Below are 23287 nucleotides of genomic sequence, written 5' to 3' on the forward strand. Positions count from 1 at the left end.
TCCCTGTGTTCTCATCATTCAACTCCCACTTATGAACGAGAACATGTGGTGTTTGGTTTTCTGTTCCTATGTTAGGCTGCTGAGAATGATGGCTTCCAGCTTCATCCATGTCTCTGCAAAGGACATGAACTCATTCTTTTTTATGGCTGCATAGTATTCCATGGTGTATATGGACCACATTTTCTTTATCCAGTCTATCATTGATGGGCATTTGGGTTGGTTCTAAGTCTTTGCTATTGTAAATAGTGCTGCAATAAACATACATGCACATGTATCTTCATAGTAGAATGAATTATAATCCTTTGGGTATATACCCAGTAATGGGATTGCTGGATCAAATGGTATTTCTGGTTCTAGATCCTTGAGGAATTGCCACACTGTCTTCCAGAATGGTTGAACTAATTTATACTCCCACCAAGAGTGTAAAAGTGTTCCTATTTCTCTACATCCTCTCCAGCATCTGTTGCTTCCTGACTTTTTAATAATCACCATTCTAACTGGTGTGAGATGGTATCTCATTGTGGTTTTGATTTGCAAGAAATGTACATTTTCTTCCTTTTTTTTTTTTTTTTTTTTTTGAGACAGAGTCTCGCTCTGTCGCCCAGGCTGGAGTGCAGTGGCGCAATCTCGGCTCACTGCAAGCTCCGGCTCCCAGGTTCACGCCATTCTCCTGCCTCAGCCTCCTGAGTAGCTGGGACTACACATTTTCTTTCTTTCTTTCTTTTGAGATGGAGTTTCACTCTTGTTGCCCAGGCCGGAGTGCAATGGTGTGATCTCAGCTCACTCCACTTCCTGGGTTCAAGCAATTCTCCTGCCTCAGCCTCCCGAGTAGCTGGGATCACAGGTGTGCACCACCACACTCGGCTAATTTTGTATTTTTTGTTGAGATGGGGTTTCTCCATGTTGGTCAGGCTAGTCTTGAACTCCCGAACTGAGGTGATCCACCCGCCTCAGCCTCTCAAAGTGCTGGGATTACAGGCGTGAGCCACCGTGCCCGGCCAAAATGTACATTTTTAAGACATGAGAATTACCAAAAGACTCTAGAGGAAACAGAAAATCTGAAGAGCCTTATATCAAAAAACTCAATTCATAATTCAAAACTTTCCCACAAAGAAAATTCAAGACCCAGATGGCGTCAATAATGAATTTTTTCAAACATTCAAAAAAGAAAAACTATCAAATTTTACTCATTTTATGAGACTCGATAGTCCTGAAACAAAAACTATACAAAGATACTATAATACCAGAAGAAAACTACAAACTAATATCCCTCATGAACGTGGAAAAATTTTAAGTAAAATACTAACAAATGAAATCCAGAAATATATAAAAAGGAAGATACAAAAAATAAAAGCCACATAGACATAGAAAAGGCATTTGACACAATTCAACATTTCATGATAAATCATTCTGCAAACAAAAAATAGAAGGGCATTTGTAAAATCTGACAAGGTTTACACAAAAAAATCTTACAGATAACATAATATTCTATGGTGAATGACTGGATGCTTTCCCCTTAAGATTTAAGACAAGGATGTCTGCTCTTGCCATCTATATTCCACACTGTACTAGAAGTTGCAGCCAAAGTAATTGCCAAGAAAATAAAATTAAAGACATCCAGATTGGAAAGGAGGAGGTAAAACAGCTCTCATAAAGAGAAAATTCTAAGGAATCCACTAAAAAACAATGAGAATAACTGAGTTCATAAGGTTGTAAAATATAAAATCAATACAGTATCCACTGTCTTCCCACATACTAGCAACCAACAACCCAAAAGTAAAATTAAGAAAATAATTTCATATATAATAGCAACAAAAGTAATAAAATGCTTAGGAAAAAATTTAGCAAAAGTATCAAAAACTCTGAAATCTACAAAACATTACTGAAAGAAATCGAAGATCTAAATAAATGGAAAAAATATCCCATGTTCATGGATCTGAACTGAAGCCTTCATATTGTTGAGATTATGATAATCCCTGAAATAATCTACAAATTCGGTGCAATTTCTACCAAAACACAAGTTGGCTTCTTTGTATAAATTAACAAGCTGATTCTAAAATTCATTTGGAAACTCACAGGCCTCAAAATAGCTAAAACAATCTTGAAAAAGAATAACAAAGTTGAAACTAACATGCCCCAATTTAAAAACTTACTACAAAGCAACAGTACTAAAGATAGTGTGGTACTCGCATAAGGATAGACATATAAATAAGTGAAATAGCATTGAAAGTACAAAAATAAAACTATATATCTGCTGTCAATTGGTTGTTGACAAGAGTGCCAAGACCATTTGATAAAAAGAGAACAGTCTTTTCTACACATGGTGCTGGAACAACAGGACAGCCACAGGCAAAAGAATAAAACTGAATCCTTAGCTCATATCACATACAAAAATTAACTCAAAATGGATCAAAGATATAAATGTAAGAGCCAAACTATAAAACCCTTAGGGCTAGGAGAGATGGACGGATTGGAGTGGGAAAGAAAAGGGTATGGCATTTCATTTTGAGGTAACAAACGATGTTCTAAAGTTGTGGTAATGGTTGTACAACTCTGAACATACTAAAAAACACTGAATTGTACACTTAGAATGTATGAATTGTGTGGTATGAGCTGCAAAAATATTCAGGTGAAAATTCCAAGGAGAGAGCAAAGATCATGAAAAAGTGAGAGGAGGTTATTGACAGCGGCTCATGAGTGAGTGAGGGTGATAAGTAGCATGGAAACCATGGGTGCCAGATGGGCCTTAAATATTCCTAGGGAACATTAAAGAGCTCTAATTGACAAAGGCATACAATCCACTCTGTAATTTTCTAAGATCACCTTGACTACGGGGTGAAGAATGGATTGTAAAGGGAAGGTAGGAAGCAGGAAACCAGTTGAAAGGTTACTCTAGCAACCCAGGTGAGAGATGAGGGTGGCTTAAACCAATGTCTTGGGGAAGCTTACATTCTAGCAGCCATTTTGTAATGTTTATTTGTGCAGCTGTTTCTTTCTTTCAAAGATTTTCTTCATGAAGGTAAGGGTTATGTATGTTTCATTTAACCAGTGCTCCCCAAACTGAACTGATTACAGAAATATAATGTATATGGGGTTGGAAGTCAGATTCTGGTATGGTTAAGATGGATTCAATAGGGGCTGTCCAAGGAGAAGAGCCGATATTTTTAAAACAGCAAATATAAAAGGCAACAGAGAGTACTAGGCGTGTTAAAATCACTCTACGTATGTTGAAAAAATGAGCATAAGCTTATTTACTAATATTAGAATGCTATCACCCAAAACTTCACAGGAGTATAAATGGTACAATTAGATGCTTTTGTGTAATGGGTAGTCAACTTAGGGAATTAATACTCAGTTGAAAATGTGAAGAATTCTGGAAAGGTCTAAATATAAATATGAAAGACTGATCCATGATGTCACGGTAAGGCCTAGATTTCAGGTGTTGACAACATGAGGGACAACTGTCACCCACTTCACTCCTTTCAAACTCCCACTGCACTCTGAAAGAAACTCTCACACTCACACACGCATGCAATACCATTTGGGTCTGACTCAGTATAACCTTGCTTTTTTTTTCTTTTAACATAGGAACACTATAATATATAGGAGATGCCTCAAAGGGAGAGGCTACATAAATGTAAGATATTATATATGTATTGAGGTGATAACAACTGTATTTAGAGACATGCCTCTGGAATTTAAAAAAAAAAAAAATTAAATCCGGAACGTTAGCACTGCCGGCATTTCTCCCAGGGCAAAATACATTTAGCATCCTATTAAATCAAAGGAAGTCCACTGCACACAGTGGCAAGCTTTTCCAGCTGGTGTTAACACAGATTGATGCACATGTTCAATCACGCTGAACCTGACACTGGGCTTCCTGAAATTTATACTACAAAACGGAAACGCTTTATGTGTTGCAACTTCCCAACCCCTTTAAGGCAATAACTCACCAGGCAGAAATACAATTCACTTAGCATTTTAAAAATCCATGCTGAAAACATTTTCTGGGGCTAAAGATTTCACTGAAATAGAATATATAAAATGGAACTTGTTAAAAAATATCATGTAGGAGACTTGACGGGAGTCATTTTTGATTATCAGTGAAGGCCAGGGGAATCAAAGGATATGGTATGATTTTTTGTGAAGTATGGCAAAAGAAATATTAATGCAGAATTAAAACGTAGGAGCATGCAATAAAATCCAAGTCAAAATTCAAAGTTGGGTACAAATATTCTATTCCCAACATTTTCTTTTTCAAATAAAATTAAGGCATATATTTGGAACCACAGCAATCTGTCACCTAATAATAAATTAGGCCTTTTTATTGGCTCAGTTTTGACACATTGATGGGTATACCATTGGGAGGAATGCTTATTTTTGAATTAGGAAGATCTGAACTAAAAACTGGATTCTGTCTATAATAAGCCATGTCAATAACGTGGCCTTAGGCAAGTCACAATCTCCCTTGGTCCCATCATCTTTAAAAAGAGGCCAGAGAGCTCTCCTTGCCTACATTATACAACTGAGATTAAGTGCATGAAACTCTTCTGCAAATTACGATATTCTGCACAAAAACTAAGATATGTCTGTAATTATATCTAGCTTAAAACTAATCTGAAAAATGTTAGTGATCAATTGACAAAGTCAATCTTATTCATGCGAAAGTGGCACAGTTTACAATTCCATAAAGAACATCCTTGTCACTTACTGCTCTATCTATTAAGCTAGACCTTCTTTTCATAGTAATAGGATTTAGGCAAGAAAACCAATTCTGTTAACAACATAAAGCTGCCTTGGGTTGGGGAAGGTAATTACCCCGAAACAAAAATCTAGTCTAAAAAAATTAACTTTTTTATTATGTATTTGGAGTCTGCTTATTCTAGACATAGTTAATAATCGCACTACATCTTTTCTTAAGGAAATAGTTAAAAGATTTAGCCAGGTGGGTGGCTGATTCCTGTAATCCTAACATTTTGGGAGGACAAGGTGGAAGGACGGCCTCAGCTCAGGAGTTCGAGACCAGCCTGGGCAACGTAGGGAGACTCAATCTCTAAAAAAGTTAAAAAATTAGCCAGGCATGGTGATGCATGCCTGTGGTCCCAGCTACTTGGAAGGCTGAGGTGCAAGGATCACCTGGGCCCAGAAGGTCAAGGTTGTAGTGAGCCATGATCATGCCACTGCAAGCCAGTCTGGGTGACACAGAGCAAGACTCTGTCTCAAAAAAAAAAAAAAGAAAGAAAGAAAAGATTTCATATAAGAGCTGAACTACTTTGTCGACCTCCAGAAGAGACTTCTTTTTCTATAATGCTTTTAATTGATAATAAAGATTTCAAAAGATGGATTTATATAGCATATGTTAAACATGAAATAAATTACTAATATGTAGACAAGTGACAAATGCATTATAGTGTAGGCACACAACTGATATAACAAATGAAGCAATTGGTTCAGAACAGTGGTTGTTATCATGAATTCTGGGAGAATAAAAAAAATCCCCAATGAAATAAGCGCTGTCACAAAAGGTAATGTTAAGACAGTGAGAAATTAAACAATTAGAAAATAATGTTGTCACTTGCAGAGAGGTAGTTTAAGATCTTAATATGGATAAAGAAGTGAGTCTAATCAGTTACTGCAAGTACTACAAAGTACCCAACACTTACTAGGAACAAGTTAATAATCATATAAAGGATGTCAAAAAGAAAGAATTGAATGAATGGGTGAATGAGTGAATGAAACAACCAATGGTCCAACCAAAAAGCCAATCAGAGCTTTTTACACAGAACAACCAGAACTTGCTCCCAGCCTCAATATAAAACTCCCAAGAAAGGCACAGACTTGGAAAATTGCTTGTAATTATAAAATTCTTAGGATGGATGGACTGCGGGCATACTCTTCTTGCTATGTCTTTTGTCCACCCTGAGTACTGGCCATGCAGAATCCCTTCATCTGAGCTCCTCCCTCTTGCCCCTTCTTTTCCCTCGCTTTTCTCTTCTGACCCTTCCTATGTGCCTCAGTTTTCACACAGGAGGATAATTCCCAGCCTTTCTTTTATCCACAGGATACACTGACCAATCCCACTGTGTGAGGTGAGACTTTGGCTTTGGATCTACTCTGTTGTTTCTTTCTCACTAGGCACTCGGTAACTAACTGCCTCTTCCCTGTCAAAAGGGTGGGGCTGGGGTGACCTCTCTGCTTAGACTGTTTCAGAAGAGCCCAGGTTTCAGAAAGCTGGTCTCTAAACAGTCAAAGTTTAATAGCATAAATATCCACTGTGCCCGTATGTGTATGTGCGTGTGTGTGTTCATTTACCTAACATTCACTGAGCAGCTGTACTCATTCCTGAATCAAGGCTAAATTCTTTAAGCAGATTATCCTTTTAATCCTCACAAAGACACCAGGAGGTGGGAGCTGTTATTACCCTCATTTTACATGAGGTGTAGAAGGGAGGTAAAATAACGTTATCTGTTCTAGTCCGTTTTCACGCTACTCATAGAGACATACCCGAGACTGGGCAATTTACAAAAGAAAGGTTTAACTGGACTTATAGTTCCACGAGGCTGGGGAGGCCTCACAATCATGGTGGAAGGCAAGGAGAAGCAAGTCACATCTTACATGAATGGCAGGAGCCACAAGAGAGGGCTTGTGTATGAGACCCCCATTTTTAAAACCATGAGATCTTGTGAGACCCATTCAGTATCACAAGAACGGCACAGGAAAGACCCGCCCCCATGATTCAGTCATCTCCCACCAGGTCCCTCCCACAACGCGTGGGAATTATGGGAGCTACCAGATGAGATTTGGGTGAGGACACAGAGCCACATCATATCAATATCTGAAGGTCACAGAACAAGGCAGTGGGAGAGTGAGGTTTGAACCCAAGCCTAGTGATGGAGAGTCCAGCACTTAACCTCTATCCTCTACTGTTTACATTTAAAAAACGTTTTAAACCTCTGGATAAAATAAATGGGAACCAGTTGACAGAATGACAGTAACAGAAGAGAAGATAAACAAGACACTTATAATCAGGGACTTAATTGACCAAACAAATACTGGATTTTCTTCTTCCCTGCCTCAGAAAAGAAAGTTATTTTTCTTTAGCTTCTTAATGTCCACAGGAAAAGGATTAAGAGATATAACAAGAGATTTTTGACTGTACATCCACTCATTGTTAATTCTGTTTATTCTGGAGTATATAATTGAGAGGAAATTCTCAATTCATAACATCCTTTACTCTCTGAAGGGGATTAGTATTTGTTTCCACTCTTCACAAGTATGCTAGAAAATACTATGCTTCTCATAGTTACTGTAGTAAAAAATGTTATTGATTGTGGGCACATATTGCAGGGCACTAAGCTGGCTAGCCCCAGGTGTATGCAGCGTTGCAGACATACGTCCCATAGGCTGCTGGGATTGGTGCAAATTAAGGTTTTGATGTCTATAGCACTTTGTTTTGTTGCATGCCGAGCAGACCAATGTGATTTTTTTTCCCTCTTCTCCAAAGGCAAAATTATCTGGGTAACAAATGCGGGACAAGAGGTCCCATTACTGCCTAGAAGCCAAGCAACCAGAAACGATTCCAATTCAGAACAAGCAGCAGAAACCATGGAATGCTCAGGAAAGAGAATTATGCAAAACACAGAATCCAGATCTTCAGCTCACACAACAGCGGTCTCATCGGCAGGTGAGAAAATGCAGAAATGGAATAGAAAACTGCTAACAAACCCCAGGTGACGTCACCAGCTCCCAAATCACTTTTTTTTTTTTTTTTTTTTTTTCCTGGGGCTGTTGACCTATTCTGAGGATTGTTCAGGGTATGCATTGAGTTTCCTTTCTTCACTACCAACGCAGGATTTTTATCCTCTCTACTAATTAATTCTTCTAAGAAATAATATATAAAAGAACAAAAAAGGGGTGAAAGTTCAGTTAGCCACACGGCTGGCTGCTTTTTAGGAGTCTGGATGCTGGCTGAAAATACTGGGCAAAAAGAGACTTCTGCATTCAGGCAGGCTCCGGAGGATATTTCAATTATGTGCATTCCACTGTCCTGTCCTGGCCGAGTTAACTGCATATGTCAGGAAAAAGAGAATAATCCCCCAACCCCCATCTGTCTCATAAGAGAACCCCTTTTTCCTATGAAGCTAAAACACACCACACAGCTCCAGCAATGGGGAGCCATCTGTGGTGTCAACCGAGGTGGCCACAGTCCCTGAATGGCCACGGATGTCTGCCTGGGAGTCAGCCCGACCCATTAACATCCTCGATCCTTCTGGCTTCAGTGTTTAGGAACCATAGTGCTTCAGGCTCAATCTTTCACTCTCTGCAGTCACACACAAGGGATCTCATCCAATTTGTACTCTTAAATGTATGCTGATAATGCCCCAAACTATATATGCAGCCTAGACGTCTCTTCTGGACTCTAGATTCTTATACCCTATCGCCTTCTCAATGAGACACCCTTAAGGCATCTCAAATTTAAGATATCTGAGGCTCAGGTCAGGATGACCTCCTCTCCTCAATCCCTCTCCTAATCTACTCTTCCTAAAATCTTTCCCAGCCTTCCAGTTGCTTAGACCAAAAACCTCACAGTTAACCTTAACTCTCTCACCCCTCATCTAAACTGTCACCAATTCCTGTTAGTTTTGCCTTGGAAACAGATCCAGTATCCGACCATTACTTCTACCACTACCAGTACCATCTGGATGAAGCCAGCATCTACTCCCACCAGGATTGCAATGATAGTCTCCTATCTCTCAGACTCTCCACTTCCACCCTTGCCCTCTGCCCTCCAGCCTATTTTCAGCACAGCAGCCAAAGAACTCCTCTGAAAAACAGTCAGGGGCTACACACCATGGCTCATGCCTGTAATCCCAGTGCTTCAGGAGGCTGAGGCAGGAGGATCACTCAAGCACAGGAGTTTGAGACTAGCCTGGGCAATACAGCAACACCCCATCTCCACAAAAAACTGAGAAAACCAGTGGGGCACAGTGGTGCACGCCTGTAGTCCCAGCTACTTGGGAGGCTGAGGCAGGAGGATGGCTTGAGCCTGGGAGACAGAAGCTGCAGTGAGCTATGATTGCACCACTGCACTCCAGCCTGGGTGATCACATGAGACTCTGTGTCTAAATAAGAAAGTCAGATCATGCTATGCCTTTCCTCAAAACCCTTCAATGTCTTCCCATTTGTATCAGTTTCCTTTTGCTGCTCTAACCAATGACTACAAGCAGTGGCTTAAAATAATAGAAATCTAGTCTCTTACTGTTGTAGAGTGCACAAGTCCAAAAACTGGATTTTATGGAGCTAAAATTGAGGTGCCAATAAAGCTGCATTCCTTCTGGAGGCTTCGGGATTGCAGGGGGGACATCCGGCTGCATGCCTTTCCAGTTTCTGGAGGCTGCCTGTACTTCTCGGCTCGTGGCCCCTTCCATGAGTGACTCCAGCCTCTTGCTTCTGTCACCATGTCTTCTACTCCTACCTCTGACCCTCCTTCCTCTGTCTTAGGAGGCCCCTTGTGATTACACCGGGCTCACCTGGGCAATCCAGGATAATCTCCCCATCTCAAGACTACAAAGTCCATAAGCAAAGTCACTTTCCCTATATAAGGTAACAAATTCTCACATTCTGGTGATTAGGACGGGAGCATCTATAGGAGTGCCCATTTCACCCGGAGTAAAAGCCCAAGTTCGGACAATGTCCTACCAGTTCCCATGTGAACCAGACCCCATTTCCTGTCTAAGCTCATTGCTTACAACTCTCTCCCCTTCACTCACTCTGTTCCAGCCACACTGGCCTTGCTCTTCCTCAACACAAGCCCACCCAGGACCTTTGCACTTACCATTCTCTCTGTCAGGGGACCTCCCTCCTTCCTTTAAGTCTCTGCATAAAGGGCACCACCCTATGAGTGAGGGTTTCTCTGATTACCCGTTCCCCAGCCGGGCTCTCCCTTCCATGCTCCATTTTTTTCCCAGAGCTCTTAATACCACATATCTGTCATTCATATTCTCTCTCTCTTTCTTCTGTCTTCTCCCGCTAGAACATCATCAGTCACGCGTGTTCTGTCTCTTGTTCTAATCCCTAGCAAATACCAGGGGCTCAACAAACAGTTGTTGAGTAAGTGACTCTTACTTTACCGGAAAAGGCAAGTTCCTTGGACTCAAAGGTCTGCCCTCAAATAGGAACTTAACCTGAATGAATAAATGAATGAATGGGTACACGAGACTCAACTTACATCTCATTTCTTATAGGTATATAGACTAATATGAAAGCAAGTGCTTTACTACTTAAGAACCAGACATAACAGTTTAAATGGCTTATTCAAAGACACACAGTGAAGGTAAAGTAACACAATCACGTATTAAACCTCCAGCCAAGCCCCTGACTTTATTTTGCTGTGTCCCTGTATGTTCTCAGACCTGATAAATCAGAACTCGCCTGGATTCTCTTGCTTGGCTCAAATACCAGTACCAAAAAGTTTACAAGTCAATAAACTCTGGATTTATTATGAAAGGAAATTTCACAGAAATCTCAAAAGCATTTATCTCGTGTATTCAGATATGTAAAAAATATACAGCGAGAGATCATCATCCACACTTTAAAACACCCCCAGAAGCAAACCTGCAGCATAAGCTTCATATGCATCACCAGTGCCCAGCACTGCCCATCAGCCAGCCCGGAGCAGCATCCAGATGGTCACCTCAGGCGTTGGGGACACAAAAAAACCAAAGACGATCCCATCCTGGGGCATGTTTACTGAGGGGAAAGAGACACGGGGACAACGCAACTGGCTTGGAAAGGGCCAGCAATTTGTCTTGCAGAGGCCATCTCAGCTGCGTTTTGCAAAGTGTTATGCTAGCCTTGCTCACATGCCGGCAAAGCCCACGCCAACTCACCATCCAGCAACATCTCTCCGCCTGCCTTTTCGGGAGAGTGTGCTGGGGTTGTGTTTTGTTCAAACTTGGAAACTGCATTTCTAGGAATCCTCTTACCAGCATATGGGTGGGAAAAAGGACCTCACCGTGATCAGGAAGCTGGACCCAGAGGAGGGACTGTCAGGTTCAAATCTCACCTGACTCACTAGCTGTGTCCCCACAGACTTGTCAGCAACCAACTCTCTCTATGCCTCAGTGTCCTCATCTTTAAAAAGTCTCCTTATAATTCTTACGATAATTATAGGTGATATTGCAGGAAAAACATTTACAGTGCCTTGCAATTCCAGGCCTTAATAGATACTACCTATTATTATAATAGCTGTTACTGTATTAGTAGTATACTAATCTTGACTTTTTAAAAAAAATCACCATTCAAAAATAAATAGTCCATTTGTCTTCATCTTGAGTTTTGCTTGTGACAGTGACTTCTAAAGGTTTATCACGTACTTACAACTGTTTGTCTATAATCAGGAAAAACTGCTATCAGGCAAATGTTAAGATTAAGCTTTTCTACATACGGCTCGCAAAAATAAAGTCATTTAAAGCCTTCCCCCTCAATTCTACACCTGAATAAAAATATACATGATTTGTTAATGGAAAGCCTTACAGAAATGTTGAACAAATATGACCTCATGCAGTATTTAAATAAGATAAGCAAAATGAGTAAGATTTTAAAATATATACATAGGCATGCGTAGGTTCAACTAGACATTTTTGTGGCAAATTACTGTCTGATAAAATAATTGTTTAATATCCTACGTTGCCTCACTGCTTGAAAAATGAAATAAGATCAAATGACATCAAAATACACATTTATTTTTCCGTTTCTACTAACCACACTAACCAAGCATACATGTCAGAGGCATTAAGTGAGCTTTACACCAAGTTATAGAAGAATTCACCTCACACATGGAGATTCTGATTTAGTAGGTTGGGGAGGGAGCAAGTTTTTGAGTTCTGCAGAAGCTCCCCAGCTATTACTTATGCTAACATCTGTGGTTATTAACCACTGTACAAGATCTCTCTTTTTTTTTTTTTTTTCCTTTCAACAAGGTCTTGTTCTGTCACCCAGCCAGGAGTGCAGTGGCACGATCACTGCTCACTGCAGCTTTGACCTCCCAGGCTCAGGTGATCCTCCCACCTCAGCCTCCCGAGTAGCTGGGACTACAGGCATGCACCACCACGTCCAGCTAATTTTTTGTACTTTTTGTAGAGACGGGGTTTCACCATGTTGCACAGGCTGGTCTCAGACTCCTGGGCTCAAGCTATCCGCCTGCTTCGGCCTCCCAAAGTGCTGGGATTACAACTGGGAGCCACCGTGCCCGGCCCGAGATCTCTCCTTTAACAAGAAGTTTTTTGCCTTGAAAATGTTTGCAAAAAGCGTTTCTTGATTCTGTCACCCTGCTCCCAAAGCAACACGTGACTACTTGCAACTCAGTAAAGAGAAGTGTTGAGTTGCTCCTCAGCCCTTAAAAAATCATTAAATAATCCTCTAGGTGGATTTTTAACACTAGCAAGAGAGCTAAGGGAAATGGCAAGAGAGGAGGCGGGACTTCCCAGCTGGTCCACGAAATCACGTGACTGCCTTCCCTTTAGACTAATATGGCTGCCAACAGAACTCAAGGTGCTGATAGGCGTGCTCTGTGTCTCAGTCTTCCTATGCGTAACCATTAGCCACATGAGCCTGCTCATAACCTTCCTAACGTCCTGTCATCCAAGGTCCTTGCTTCATTAATTCATTCAGTCAGTGTTTTCTGAGCACCTACTGTACCCGAGGGAACAAATACAAAAATGTCCCTGCCCTCCTGGTGATTGCATTCTAATTTCTAACAAATGGCCTCTTCAAACTGCCAAACTTGTTTAAAGAACTGCTTCCTCAATGTGTTTCTTAAAAATGATGGTATTTTGGAGTAGAAAAGCAAATAATCGCAGTTTGAGAAAACAATGTGGTTCAAAGGACTGAAGAAATGAGAGGCTATGGAGGGTCTGCACAAGAAAAGATAAGGGAACTCGTGAACCTTTTGCAGTGGAACGAAGCAGTAACAGAATTACTGGCTTGGAGGTTATTTCTGGCGGGGGACATAAACCCACCCTGGAAATAGGAACGACCTGGCAGAGAAACAGGATTAGGATTCAGCGGCCAGGAGTAGGATCCATTCCCAGCAAGAACATATTTAACAATTCCTACTAGAGATGGGATCAGGAGAGAGGCAAATTCACGACCCGCAGAGGTATCAACATGTTCAAGTAGCCATAACAACTACTTTAACTATTTGGTAAAAGTTTTTCCAGGTCAATAAAAATTTAAGGGGTTAAAAAGTAAGAGTGATACTTAAAGTTATTAATAACCAACCAAGACCCAGAAAGCTTACCCAGCTAGTCAATGAGGAGCCAGGGATAAGGCTCTTACTACTAATCCCATGCTTTTCCCACTACATCACGCAGGGAGCTGAGCGGGGTCATCTTTCATCAGCAGTTTCTAAGACAGGGGACACTACAGCTGCAGAACACAGGATCCGGGAAGGTCAAACCTGTAACAGCTAACTCTGGTCAATGACAAATGGTTCTCAAATGATCAGCATCGTGTGCCTAGGTGGAGAGTAGTTGCCAAGAAGAGGACAGAGGTTGTTCAGAATTGCTACATTAGGATAATTGTTATTCATGAAACCCAGAACTAAGTTCATTCATCAGCAACCTTACCTAGTTCTGGGGGCAGAACGGTGAGGCGGTTCCCCTGAATGTGGAGCTCTTTAAGCTGGGTAAGCTCCCCGATTTCCTTAGGCAGCGAGATCAGGTCGTTATCCCTAAGGCTGAGCTAAACAGAAGAAAACAAGTTGTCAACATATTTACACATTAAAAGGTGCTCCACAGAAACTCTCATCCTCTATGTCCTCTCTTCTACTAAAGCTCAATCCTTTCCATGTATTTACAAGTGCCGGCGGATAATCAAGAAACACTATCAGGAGTAGTGGTTTATTCCCACAAAACAAACCTTACTCCTGCTCAAATTGACTTGATTCTACCCCTACAAGGCTGCAGCAGTGAATTGATTTTCTAAGAATTTAGATAAATTACTTACTATCTGCAACTTTGTGAGCTTCCCAATATCTGGCGGCAGGATTTCAAAATCGTTGTCACTTAGATAGAGTGCACGCAGGGTGGCTGCAAATTAAACAGCAATATATAAACAGGGTGGCATGGAACACAACCATTTGAGGTCTGATCAATACGAGGGAGTCAGCTTTGATTAATAACCCTGGCTTGGTGAAAAGCCTTTGACATACCTAGGGCTCCCAATAATAACAAGCAGGTCAAACTTAGATTTACTGGCTTATTGTGTAGCTGGTGTGTCCAGGAAAACATCTATATCCAAGAGGAATGACGCAATTAACAACTGTGGGCGCCAGCATTTTGGGGCACAGAGTTTCAGCACATTTTCAGAAAAGATTGCTATACTTCTCATAGATTACTTTTGATTCACATTTATTTCTCCATTTGCATCCAAAGTAAAACAAAGAACACTACTGTGCCACTTTTATGGATACCTAGGGCAAAAGGGTTCTTTCAAGAGAATACAGCTCTGTTAAAATAGACCTTTTCCTATGTAAATAGCACTGTGTTACAAATTAATGGAAGGCTTTCTGGTGATGGAGGCTATAACCACAGCTCATCAGTTCCATAATCTGACTAATTATTACTACGTGTTTCTACAGCCTTAAGGACAAAAGTAAATGAAGACAAAGAGGCTAAAATAATGACATGAAGTTAACAGAGTAAATCCTAACTTAAGGAGAATATCAGTAGTCAGAAATTTGTTCATAATTATTACACAATGATAATACGATTCCAACCTACTGAAGGCTAAAATTCTAAAGCATCTGTTTATCTTCAACCAAAAAAGCTGAGTATAATTAGATACATGTTTTGTTTACCCGTATTTATTTTTTAGAGACAGAGTCTCGCTCTGTCACCTAGGCTGGAGTGCAGTGGGTCACTGCAGCCTCAAACTCCTGGCCTCAAGCACTCTTTCTACCTCAGCCTCCCAAGTAGCTAAGATCACAGGCTCATGCTACTATGCCTGGCTACTTTTTAAATTTTTATTTCTAGAGACAGGGTCTCTCTATGTTGCCCAGGCTGGTCTTGAACTCCTAGCCTCAAGTGATCTTTGTAGCTCATACTCCCGAGAACTGCATGTTAATATAACATAATAAAAATAGTTGCTCCACTGCCCAAGAAAATATTTTATAGTTGGTTTCATGTGCTTGAGAAAGTCATAGAAAGGTAATGTACGTAAGGTAAAAAATAAAATTTTAGAGATCAGCTCTGAAAATTCAGATTTTCTGAATGCCACACAAGTTACTATTTGAAGAAATAGAACACTGATTTAAGGGAAGCAAACCTTGTCCAAAATAGTGCATGAGTTCCCAGAAGAAATCATTTTTTAATTTTCAAAAGCATCTCCAGCAAGAAATTTGTTTGCATATGAAAGAATAAAGTGTGTTCACCTGTGGCCAATAATTTCTTAATGCCTGTGTACTGGATAAATAGGTCAATAAGAGTACTTTTTAAAAGGCTCAAAATAGGAATACTGGCTGGAAAATTTTAAAATTGTGTTACTGGTTTATTAATAAATATTTTTAATAAATAATTGGTTGGAATATCCTGGGCAAATATCCTACAAAGAATTAATAGCAACATAGGAAGATACTTTTTTTTTTTTTTTTGGCATGCTATTTAAAAAGAAAGTCAAGTCTCTTAGCTAAATGTGAGGCTTGATCTCATTTAGGTATATAATCTCTCTCAGAATGTTAATATGACATTACTAAGTCCACTTCAGCCCAATGGTGTCACATAACGATCTATCAAATGCACATACTGCTGAGCTACGAAGGAATATTCAAAAGGAGTCTCTAAAGAAAAAATTATCTCTGTCCAATAATTTCTCTTGGAGTTTGGGTCCTGGCAAATAAATTTCCCTCTCAGAACGCAAAGTACAAGGTTGAGGAGATTTATAGAATTGAAAGTTTCTTACTCAGGTAGAAGAAGTTTCCAGGAAGAGAATTTTCGCTCAAGTTGTTGTACGTCAAGTCCAGAACCTCAAGAGCTGGCAGGGAGCCGAAGCCTCGTGGCAAAGTGTTCAGCCTGTTCATGCTGTTGCAGGGGGACAAAAATCTATGTCATGACACCAAAGACACATTCATACAGACTATCAAGGGCACCTCTGTTTCAGACGCTGAAAGTGTAAGACAGTGCCATGATCCTAGAGTCACTTTATACTTTATTTTTATTTTTTATTTTTTTGAGACAGGGTCTTACTCTGTTGCCTAGGTTTTAGTGCAGAGGCATGATCTCAGCTCACTGCAGCCTCAACCTCCCCAGGCTCAAGCGATCCTTCCACTTCAGCCTCCCAAGTAACTGGGACCACAGATGCACGCCACCACGCCCTGCTAATGTTTGTATTTTTTGCAGAGATGGGGTTTTGCCATGTTGCTCAGGCTGGTCTCAAACTCCTAAGCTCAAGCAATCCTCTCACCTAGGCCTCCCAGAATGCTGGGATTACAGGCGTGAGCCCCCATGCCCATCCTTTTTTTTTTTTAATTAAAAAAAGCATTTATTTAATATTTACAATGACAAAGATTGTACATACTTATGGTGTACAACATGATACTTCTGATGTATGTATACTACATCATGGAATGGTTTAAATCATACTATTTAACACACGCGCTGCCTCATATGCTTGTCATTTTTTTTGTCTTTTGTGGTGAGACTGCTTAAAATTCACTCTCTTAGCAATTTTCAATTATACCACATATTGTTATTAACTGCAGTCACCATGATGTACAATCCATCTCTTGAACTTATTTCTCCTAACTAAAATTTCATGTCCTTTGGCTAACATCTCTGCAATTCCCCTCTCCCTCCAGCCTGTGGTAACCATTTTATTCCCTGTTTCGATGAGGTTTACTTTTTTACATTCCACATATAAGTGAGAAGGTGTGGTATGTTGTCCTATTTAGGCTAATAATTTCAGTCAGACAGCTTACATGATCTTGAAACACTTGAAAATTTCTTAGCTGTTATTTTCCTCCAACGGTGAAACTTAATCACTGCTTTACACAAAAACTCAAACCATTACAAAATATCTTTCCTTGTAAAGAACAACTTCCCTATGAACGTAGTGATAATATCTCAAAATATACACATGAAGCTTTGTAGTTTTCAGGCTTTTGCTTGATTTCATTCCATTTATTCCTTTTTTGGAGGGAAAATCATGTTTTTGTTCTACAACTGCTAACACTGAAAATTATCTTCAATTAGAATGGTGATGGCCAGGGGCTGGAGGGAGGGGGAATGGAGAGGTGTGGTTTAATGGGCGTAGGATTCAGGTTTGCAAGATGAGAAAATTCTGGGGATTGGCTGAACAACAATGTGAATACGCTTAACACCACTGAACTGTCTACTACAAAGACGGTACATTTTGTGTGCATTTTATCACAACCTAAAAAATTTTTAAATCATACAATTGACCCTTGAGCAACATGGGTTTGAACTTCCTGGGTCCAATGAGACATGGATATTTTTCTTCTACCTCTGCCACCCCTGAGACCGCAAAACCAACCCTCCGCTTCCTCCTCAGCCCACTCAACATGAAGAGGACGAAGACCTTTAAGATGATCCACTTCCACTTAAAGCACAGTAAATGCACTTTCTTTTCCTTACGACTTTCTTAATAACATTTTCTTTTCTCTAGCTTACTTTATTGTAAGAATGCAGAATAGAATACATGTAACATACAAAATATGTGTTCATCAACTATTTCTAGTTTTGGTAAGGCTTCCAGCCAACTGTAGGCTATTAGGAATTAAGATTTTTCGGAGTCAAAAGTAATGTGTGGATTTTTGACTGCATGAGTCATTGTGTTGCTCCCGCAACCCATGTGTTGCTCAAGGGTCAATTGTGTGTGAGTGTGTGTGTGGGGTGTGTGCTGTGTGTGTGTGGTATTGTGTGTGATGTTATGTGTATGTGTATCTGGGTGTTTCGTGTGGTGTGTGAGGGGTGGGGTGTGGTGTGTGAAGGACGTGGGGGGCTGTGTGGGGGCGGGTATGTGTGTGGTGTGGGGTAGGTATGAGTGTGGTGTGGTGTGTGTATAGGGTGTGTTTGGGGGTGTGGTGGTGTGTGTGTACGCAGTGTGTGTGTGGTGTGTGTGTGGGTGTGTTTGTACACGGTATGTGTGTGTGCTGTGGGTGTGGTGCGTGTGGGTATGTGTGGGTGTGCGTGTGTGTGTGTGGGCGTGTCTCCAGTGAAGTCTAAGGGAATTTTTTTCTACACTATCTTTTATCCTTTCTTCAAGCCCCTTATTTTTCTTAACGCAGTTCCCTTTGAGCATACTTAAAAGCCAATTTTTAAAAAAAAAATTTAATAAAAGTTGACAGATACTGAAAGGTGGAAGGGACTGTGACAATAAAAATCATTCTAGCCATCGATCCTTCTCCTAACACATTCAGCTCCATCCAGCCCTACCAAGAGGGCCTCACCAGAAACAGCTGACAGCAGAGGGGGCAACCAAAAGGGAAACGCGGGTTCCCCCTGTCAGGCAGAAAACTTCCCAGACAGACTACACCCAGCAAAACTACCTCCACGACTATCTACTGCCACGACAGCAAGAACAAACATTCTCCATGAAGTCACAATTTGTGAAGCACATTATGGCAAGGACTTCGCTTGTTCACTAAAACTACCTTGCAATACAGGTAAGATGGAGCTTGTCATTAATGCTATGTTGAGATGAAAAAACAGCCTAAGAGAGGGTGAGGAGCCAAGACTTCAGAAGTGACTGATGAAGGCGACATGTGTCTGGAAACACCCCATACCGCACGGAGGCCAAAGCTGCTCCAGACCCTTGGGCTCTGATACAAGGATTCTGAGAAGAATTGCAAGTCAAAGGAAGGACAGCAGAGAAGACCACACTAGGTGCTTCTGTCTTTAAACGCTGCTTTCGGTTATCTCTTTTTGAAAACTGCTGATTCCTTAACATTTTTCTCTGCAAATAAATACACTTTTGCAATATTAGGTAGAGGAAATCCACGGTTAGACAGGCTTAGAGGGAAGAGGCATCTCACCTGAGAGAGAGCTCCCACTCAATCTTCAGCCCAGAGCAAGCCTGGAGCCCCTCCACCTCCTGGTGGCAAGAATCTACTTAATTGCAGATTCCTTTTTCCTTTGAGTGACAAACCAATACCCACAACATTTAAGGAACACAGCAGAGTCCCATGTGCCGCTGACAGCAGTAAGTAACAGTGGTAGGCACACCACCCTGGCGGGCAGAAAGAAGTCCTTAAACAAATGCTAAAACTTCAGAAGAATTGCTAGCAACAGCCCCAGCTACAAAGCGGCCAAGGAACTGCAGAGACTTCTGGCCACCTCTCCGGACACCAGTCCAGGTGGATGGTGACATGGTGGGTTCTCTCTCTGCAGAATGAAGGATGGAACATGCTGGCTGTCCCCCCTCCCTCCAGCAGGTGCTAACATCCATCTCCATCCATCCACATTTTGACACATAGGAATTCCATGCTCAGGGCCCCGCTCTGACACTGCTAGCAATCAAGGTTTCCATGAGAGGCTACAGTGGCGGTAGGAAAAGTATGGAGCTTTAAGGTAGGAGACAGCTAGGTGAGGAGACCGGCTCCAGCACTTGCTAGCTGCGTGACCTTCACCAAGTTACTCAGCTTCTCTGAGACCCAGTTTCCTCAACTATAAAATGAGGCTGACAACACCTTCAGGGCAGGATCACTGAGAGGATAAGAGAGAAAATATCCGAAGCACCCAACACCCAATCCATGGCTCACACGTGGCTTCTCAGGGAATGAGAGCTGTTGCTAGAATTATTTTTCAAAAGATTTGAGAGAAAATTTTGATTTAGCCCTAAGCGAGCAAGCTCACCTCATGACAAGCCACTCTGGATAGTCTCAACTATCAAGTGTGGTTTTCTATTTGTGCCACACTTGGTTAATCTCAGGTGACCTCAGGTGTTGAAACATAAAGCTTCGCAGGGCTCAGCTATGCCAAGTGGTATCAATTCTTTTGTTTGCATGGGAAGATTTTTCAAATGCGTGTTGGAAGTGGGCAAATGCCTGCATATGATGGAGAAGTTGATAAAACCAGGGGGTTTCAGGCTATTTCAGCATCTTTTTTCCTTGTCTTCTAAAGCCCCAGAAAGGTCTGTACTAATGCCTCCTTTTCAGAGCAGTTTCTTCTCCGCAGGTTGTCCTGAGCACCTCCAGCTTCAAAGAAACCTTCTTGTCTAAAGGCACTAATTTTTCTCACCTCCACAGTGACCTACTCACACTTATCAAAAATAAAAATTTAAAAAAATCCAGGCCGAGCCCAGTAGCTCACGTCTGTAATCCCAGCACTTTGGAAGGCCAGCACAGGCAGATTGCTTAAGCTCAGGAGCTCGAGACCAGCCTGAGCAACATGGCAAAAACCCGTCTATACCAAAAAAAAAACCTACAAAAATCAGCATGGCGTGGTGGTGCGTACCTGTGGTCCCAGCTACTCAGGAGGCTGATGTGGGAGGATCATTTGAGCCCAGGAGGCATAGGTTGCAGTGAGCGGAGAGCATGCCACTGCACTCCAGCCTGGGTGACAGAGTGAGATCTTGTCTCAAAAAATATATAAATAAATAATCCAAATCCACAAATATCCAACAAGGGACTTAATAAAAACTTCTATGTGTTTATGAGACAAGCTCTAGCAACAAACGAGGTCAAACGTTATTCCCGAACAGTTGGGCACGGTGGTCCTGCAGTGAAGTTACCCTAGAAATAATCATCAACATGGATAATTGTTGAAGCCACATCAACCTATGTGGCTTCACACTTTTTGGAAAATAACTCTATGAAATAAACCGCATTTAAGGAATTGAGAACAGAACTAAACTTTCTTTTACTTATTCAGGTGGCCTAAAATTCTCTCATGTCTTACAATCATCAGAATAAACTGTAAATACTATAAAAACTTTGAAAGCAAATTCTGATGGATCACACATACAAGTGGCTTCCCATCTCCACTTTGTGATCTCCTGTGTGTATGCTTTTCACCCTGGCTCCTTAGAATAAGGAGTCCTCCCTATAACTTGCCTCACTGTGTGAGTACAATTCTTTATGCCATTTGAGGACAGAGTATCCTTTAGTGAAACCCATCTTAGCTCCTTTCTCAAAGAACTGGGAGTTTTGTTCAAACTTTGACAACTCCGTCTATGTAGCTATGTAATTAAATACAAAAAGCTTTACACAATCAGTACAGCACCGACAGCCAAAAATGCAAACAACTCCAAAGAGAACAAGAAGGCAACTAACATGCATTCATTGAAAAGGAAAAGTTTAGGGCCGGGCGCAGTGGCTCATGCCTGTAATCCCAGCATTTTGGGAGGCCGAGGCAGGTGGATCACCTGAGGTCAGGAGTTCCAGACCAGCCTGACCAACATGGTGAAACGCCATCTCTACTAAAAATACAAAAGTAGCTGGGTGTGGGTGTGTGCACTTGTAATCCCAACTACTCGGGAGGCTGAGGCAGGAGAATCGTTTGAACCCAGGAGGTGGAGGTTGCAGTGAGCCGAGATCATGCCATTGCACTGGAGCCTGGGCAACAAGAAAGAAACTCCATCTCAAAAAAAGAAAAAAAAAAAAAAAGAAAAGTGTACGACTCTGTCCTCTGCTGCCTCAAACCAAAATGTTATTAGGAAAGTCAAAAAAGAACAAAATTTGAGCTTATTATCTTCTTCCCAAACCTGTCTCCATCTGTTGTATTTTTCAGCTGCCCAACACAGAAATGAAGGTATCATTCCATCCCATCAGTTACTGTCTGTCAACGTTACCGCCTGTATATTTTTCATATAAAATCCCCCCCACCTCCACTGTCACTGTCCTAGTTCACCTGGGACATGAAGCTCGTCTTCTTATTGGTCTCCTAACCTCTAGTTTACCTCCCTCCACCCTCTTCTCCATACTCTTTCATACGGAAATATGACCATATCTCCTATCTGCTACTCTGCTATGCAAATTTCTCAAGGGTCAGTATAAAATTGGAGCTCGTTTATTTATTTTTGTATGTATTTTTGAGATGGAGTCTCACTCTGTCACCTAGGCTGGAGTGCAGTGGTGCGATCTCAGTTCACTGAAACCTCTGCCTCCTGGGTTCAAACGATTCTCCTGCCTCAGCCTCCCAGGTAGAGTAGCTGCGATCACAGGCACGTGCCACCACACTTAATTTTTGTATATTTAGTAGAGACAAGGTTTCGCCACGTTGACCAGGCTGTTCTCGAACTCCTGGCCTCAGATGACCTGCCAGCCTCAGCCTCTCAAACTTCTGGAACTATAGCTATGAGCCACCACGCCCGAGAGGAGCTGCTTTATTTAGCACAGAGTGCTTTTCTTAGCACTTTTTACTTCCTGTCATTATTATAAACATTTATTTGTTTATAGTTGGTTTCTCCAACTGTAATGGAAGCTCCATCAGGGCTGGATGGCCAGCAGCTAGAACAATGCCTGGTACATGGTAAGGAACTTGGTAAATCCTCATTCACTGAACAACAGACATCCAGGATTCCCTGTCTAGCCTGACCTCTGACCTGACAGCCGCCCGCCTCACACTTTATACTCAACAGTGCCAAAAAACTGACAATTCCCAGGCCCCAGGCAGGCAGTGCTGTGAGCGTTTAAATATGCCATTCTCAGCCGGGCACGGTGGCTCACACCTGTAATGCCAGCACTTTGGGAGGCCGAGGCGGGTGGATCATGAGGTCAGGAGATAAAGACCATCCTGGCTAACACCGCAAAATCCCATCTCTACTAAAAATGTAAAAAATTAGCTGGGCGTGGTGGCAGGCGCCTGTAGTCCCAGCTACTTGGGAGGCTGAGGCAGGAGAATCTCCTGAACTCAGGAGGTGGAGCTTGCAGTGAGCCAAGATTGTGCCACCATACTCCAGCCTCGACGACAGAGTGAGACTCTGTCTCAAAAACAAAACAAAACAAAAGAGTGCCATTCACTCCATCTGAGATGCCTTCCTTCAACTTGTAAGTCTGAGAAATTCTCACGCATCAAGTCTCGGCTCCTGTGCTCCCTGCTGTGTTTGTGCTCCTGAAGATCTCATCTGTGGACTAAAGTGCTCCCCGGTCTTGCTGTTCCCCCTGTTGGTCCACAACCGCCAGCATATCTGTGACCTCATTGGTCTGTTCCTGTTTATAACCAGCCTTGCCCCAATAGGTAAGGTCAGGGACCATAACCTTCACCTTGGCTCCCCGGTACTAGGAAGATTCCTGACATAGAATAGTCACTTACATAGTCATGGAATCAAT

At 41.6% G+C, this 23287-nt stretch overlaps 1 protein-coding gene across 3 annotated transcripts in view, besides 1 other annotated feature; it reads right to left on the reverse strand.

The window, feature by feature from the left end:
• Nucleotides 1-23287, reverse strand: part of RSU1 (Ras suppressor protein 1) — a 226814-nt gene that overhangs the window by 148300 nt on the left and 55227 nt on the right. For all 3 annotated transcript variants that reach the window (NM_152724.3, NM_012425.4, XM_047425617.1), the window contains 3 exons: nt 15961-16079; nt 14008-14090; nt 13629-13743 (listed from right to left, as the gene is read on the reverse strand). In NM_152724.3, coding sequence (NP_689937.2) covers nt 13629-13743; nt 14008-14090; nt 15961-16079 — 317 coding nt within the window. The remainder of the gene's footprint in view (nt 1-13628; nt 13744-14007; nt 14091-15960; nt 16080-23287) is intronic.
• Nucleotides 20372-20524: a silencer, noted in NCBI's record as "fragment chr10:16801281-16801433 (GRCh37/hg19 assembly coordinates)". NCBI's record gives its function as "represses an EF-1alpha promoter that drives an FKBP-Casp9 reporter gene in an ReSE screen in K562 erythroleukemia cells {active_cell/tissue: K562}" and the evidence as "EXISTENCE:reporter gene assay evidence [ECO:0000049][PMID:32094911]".

The sequence above is a fragment of the Homo sapiens genome, chromosome 10, assembly GCF_000001405.40.
Source record: "Homo sapiens chromosome 10, GRCh38.p14 Primary Assembly".
NCBI lineage: Eukaryota > Metazoa > Chordata > Mammalia > Primates > Hominidae > Homo > Homo sapiens.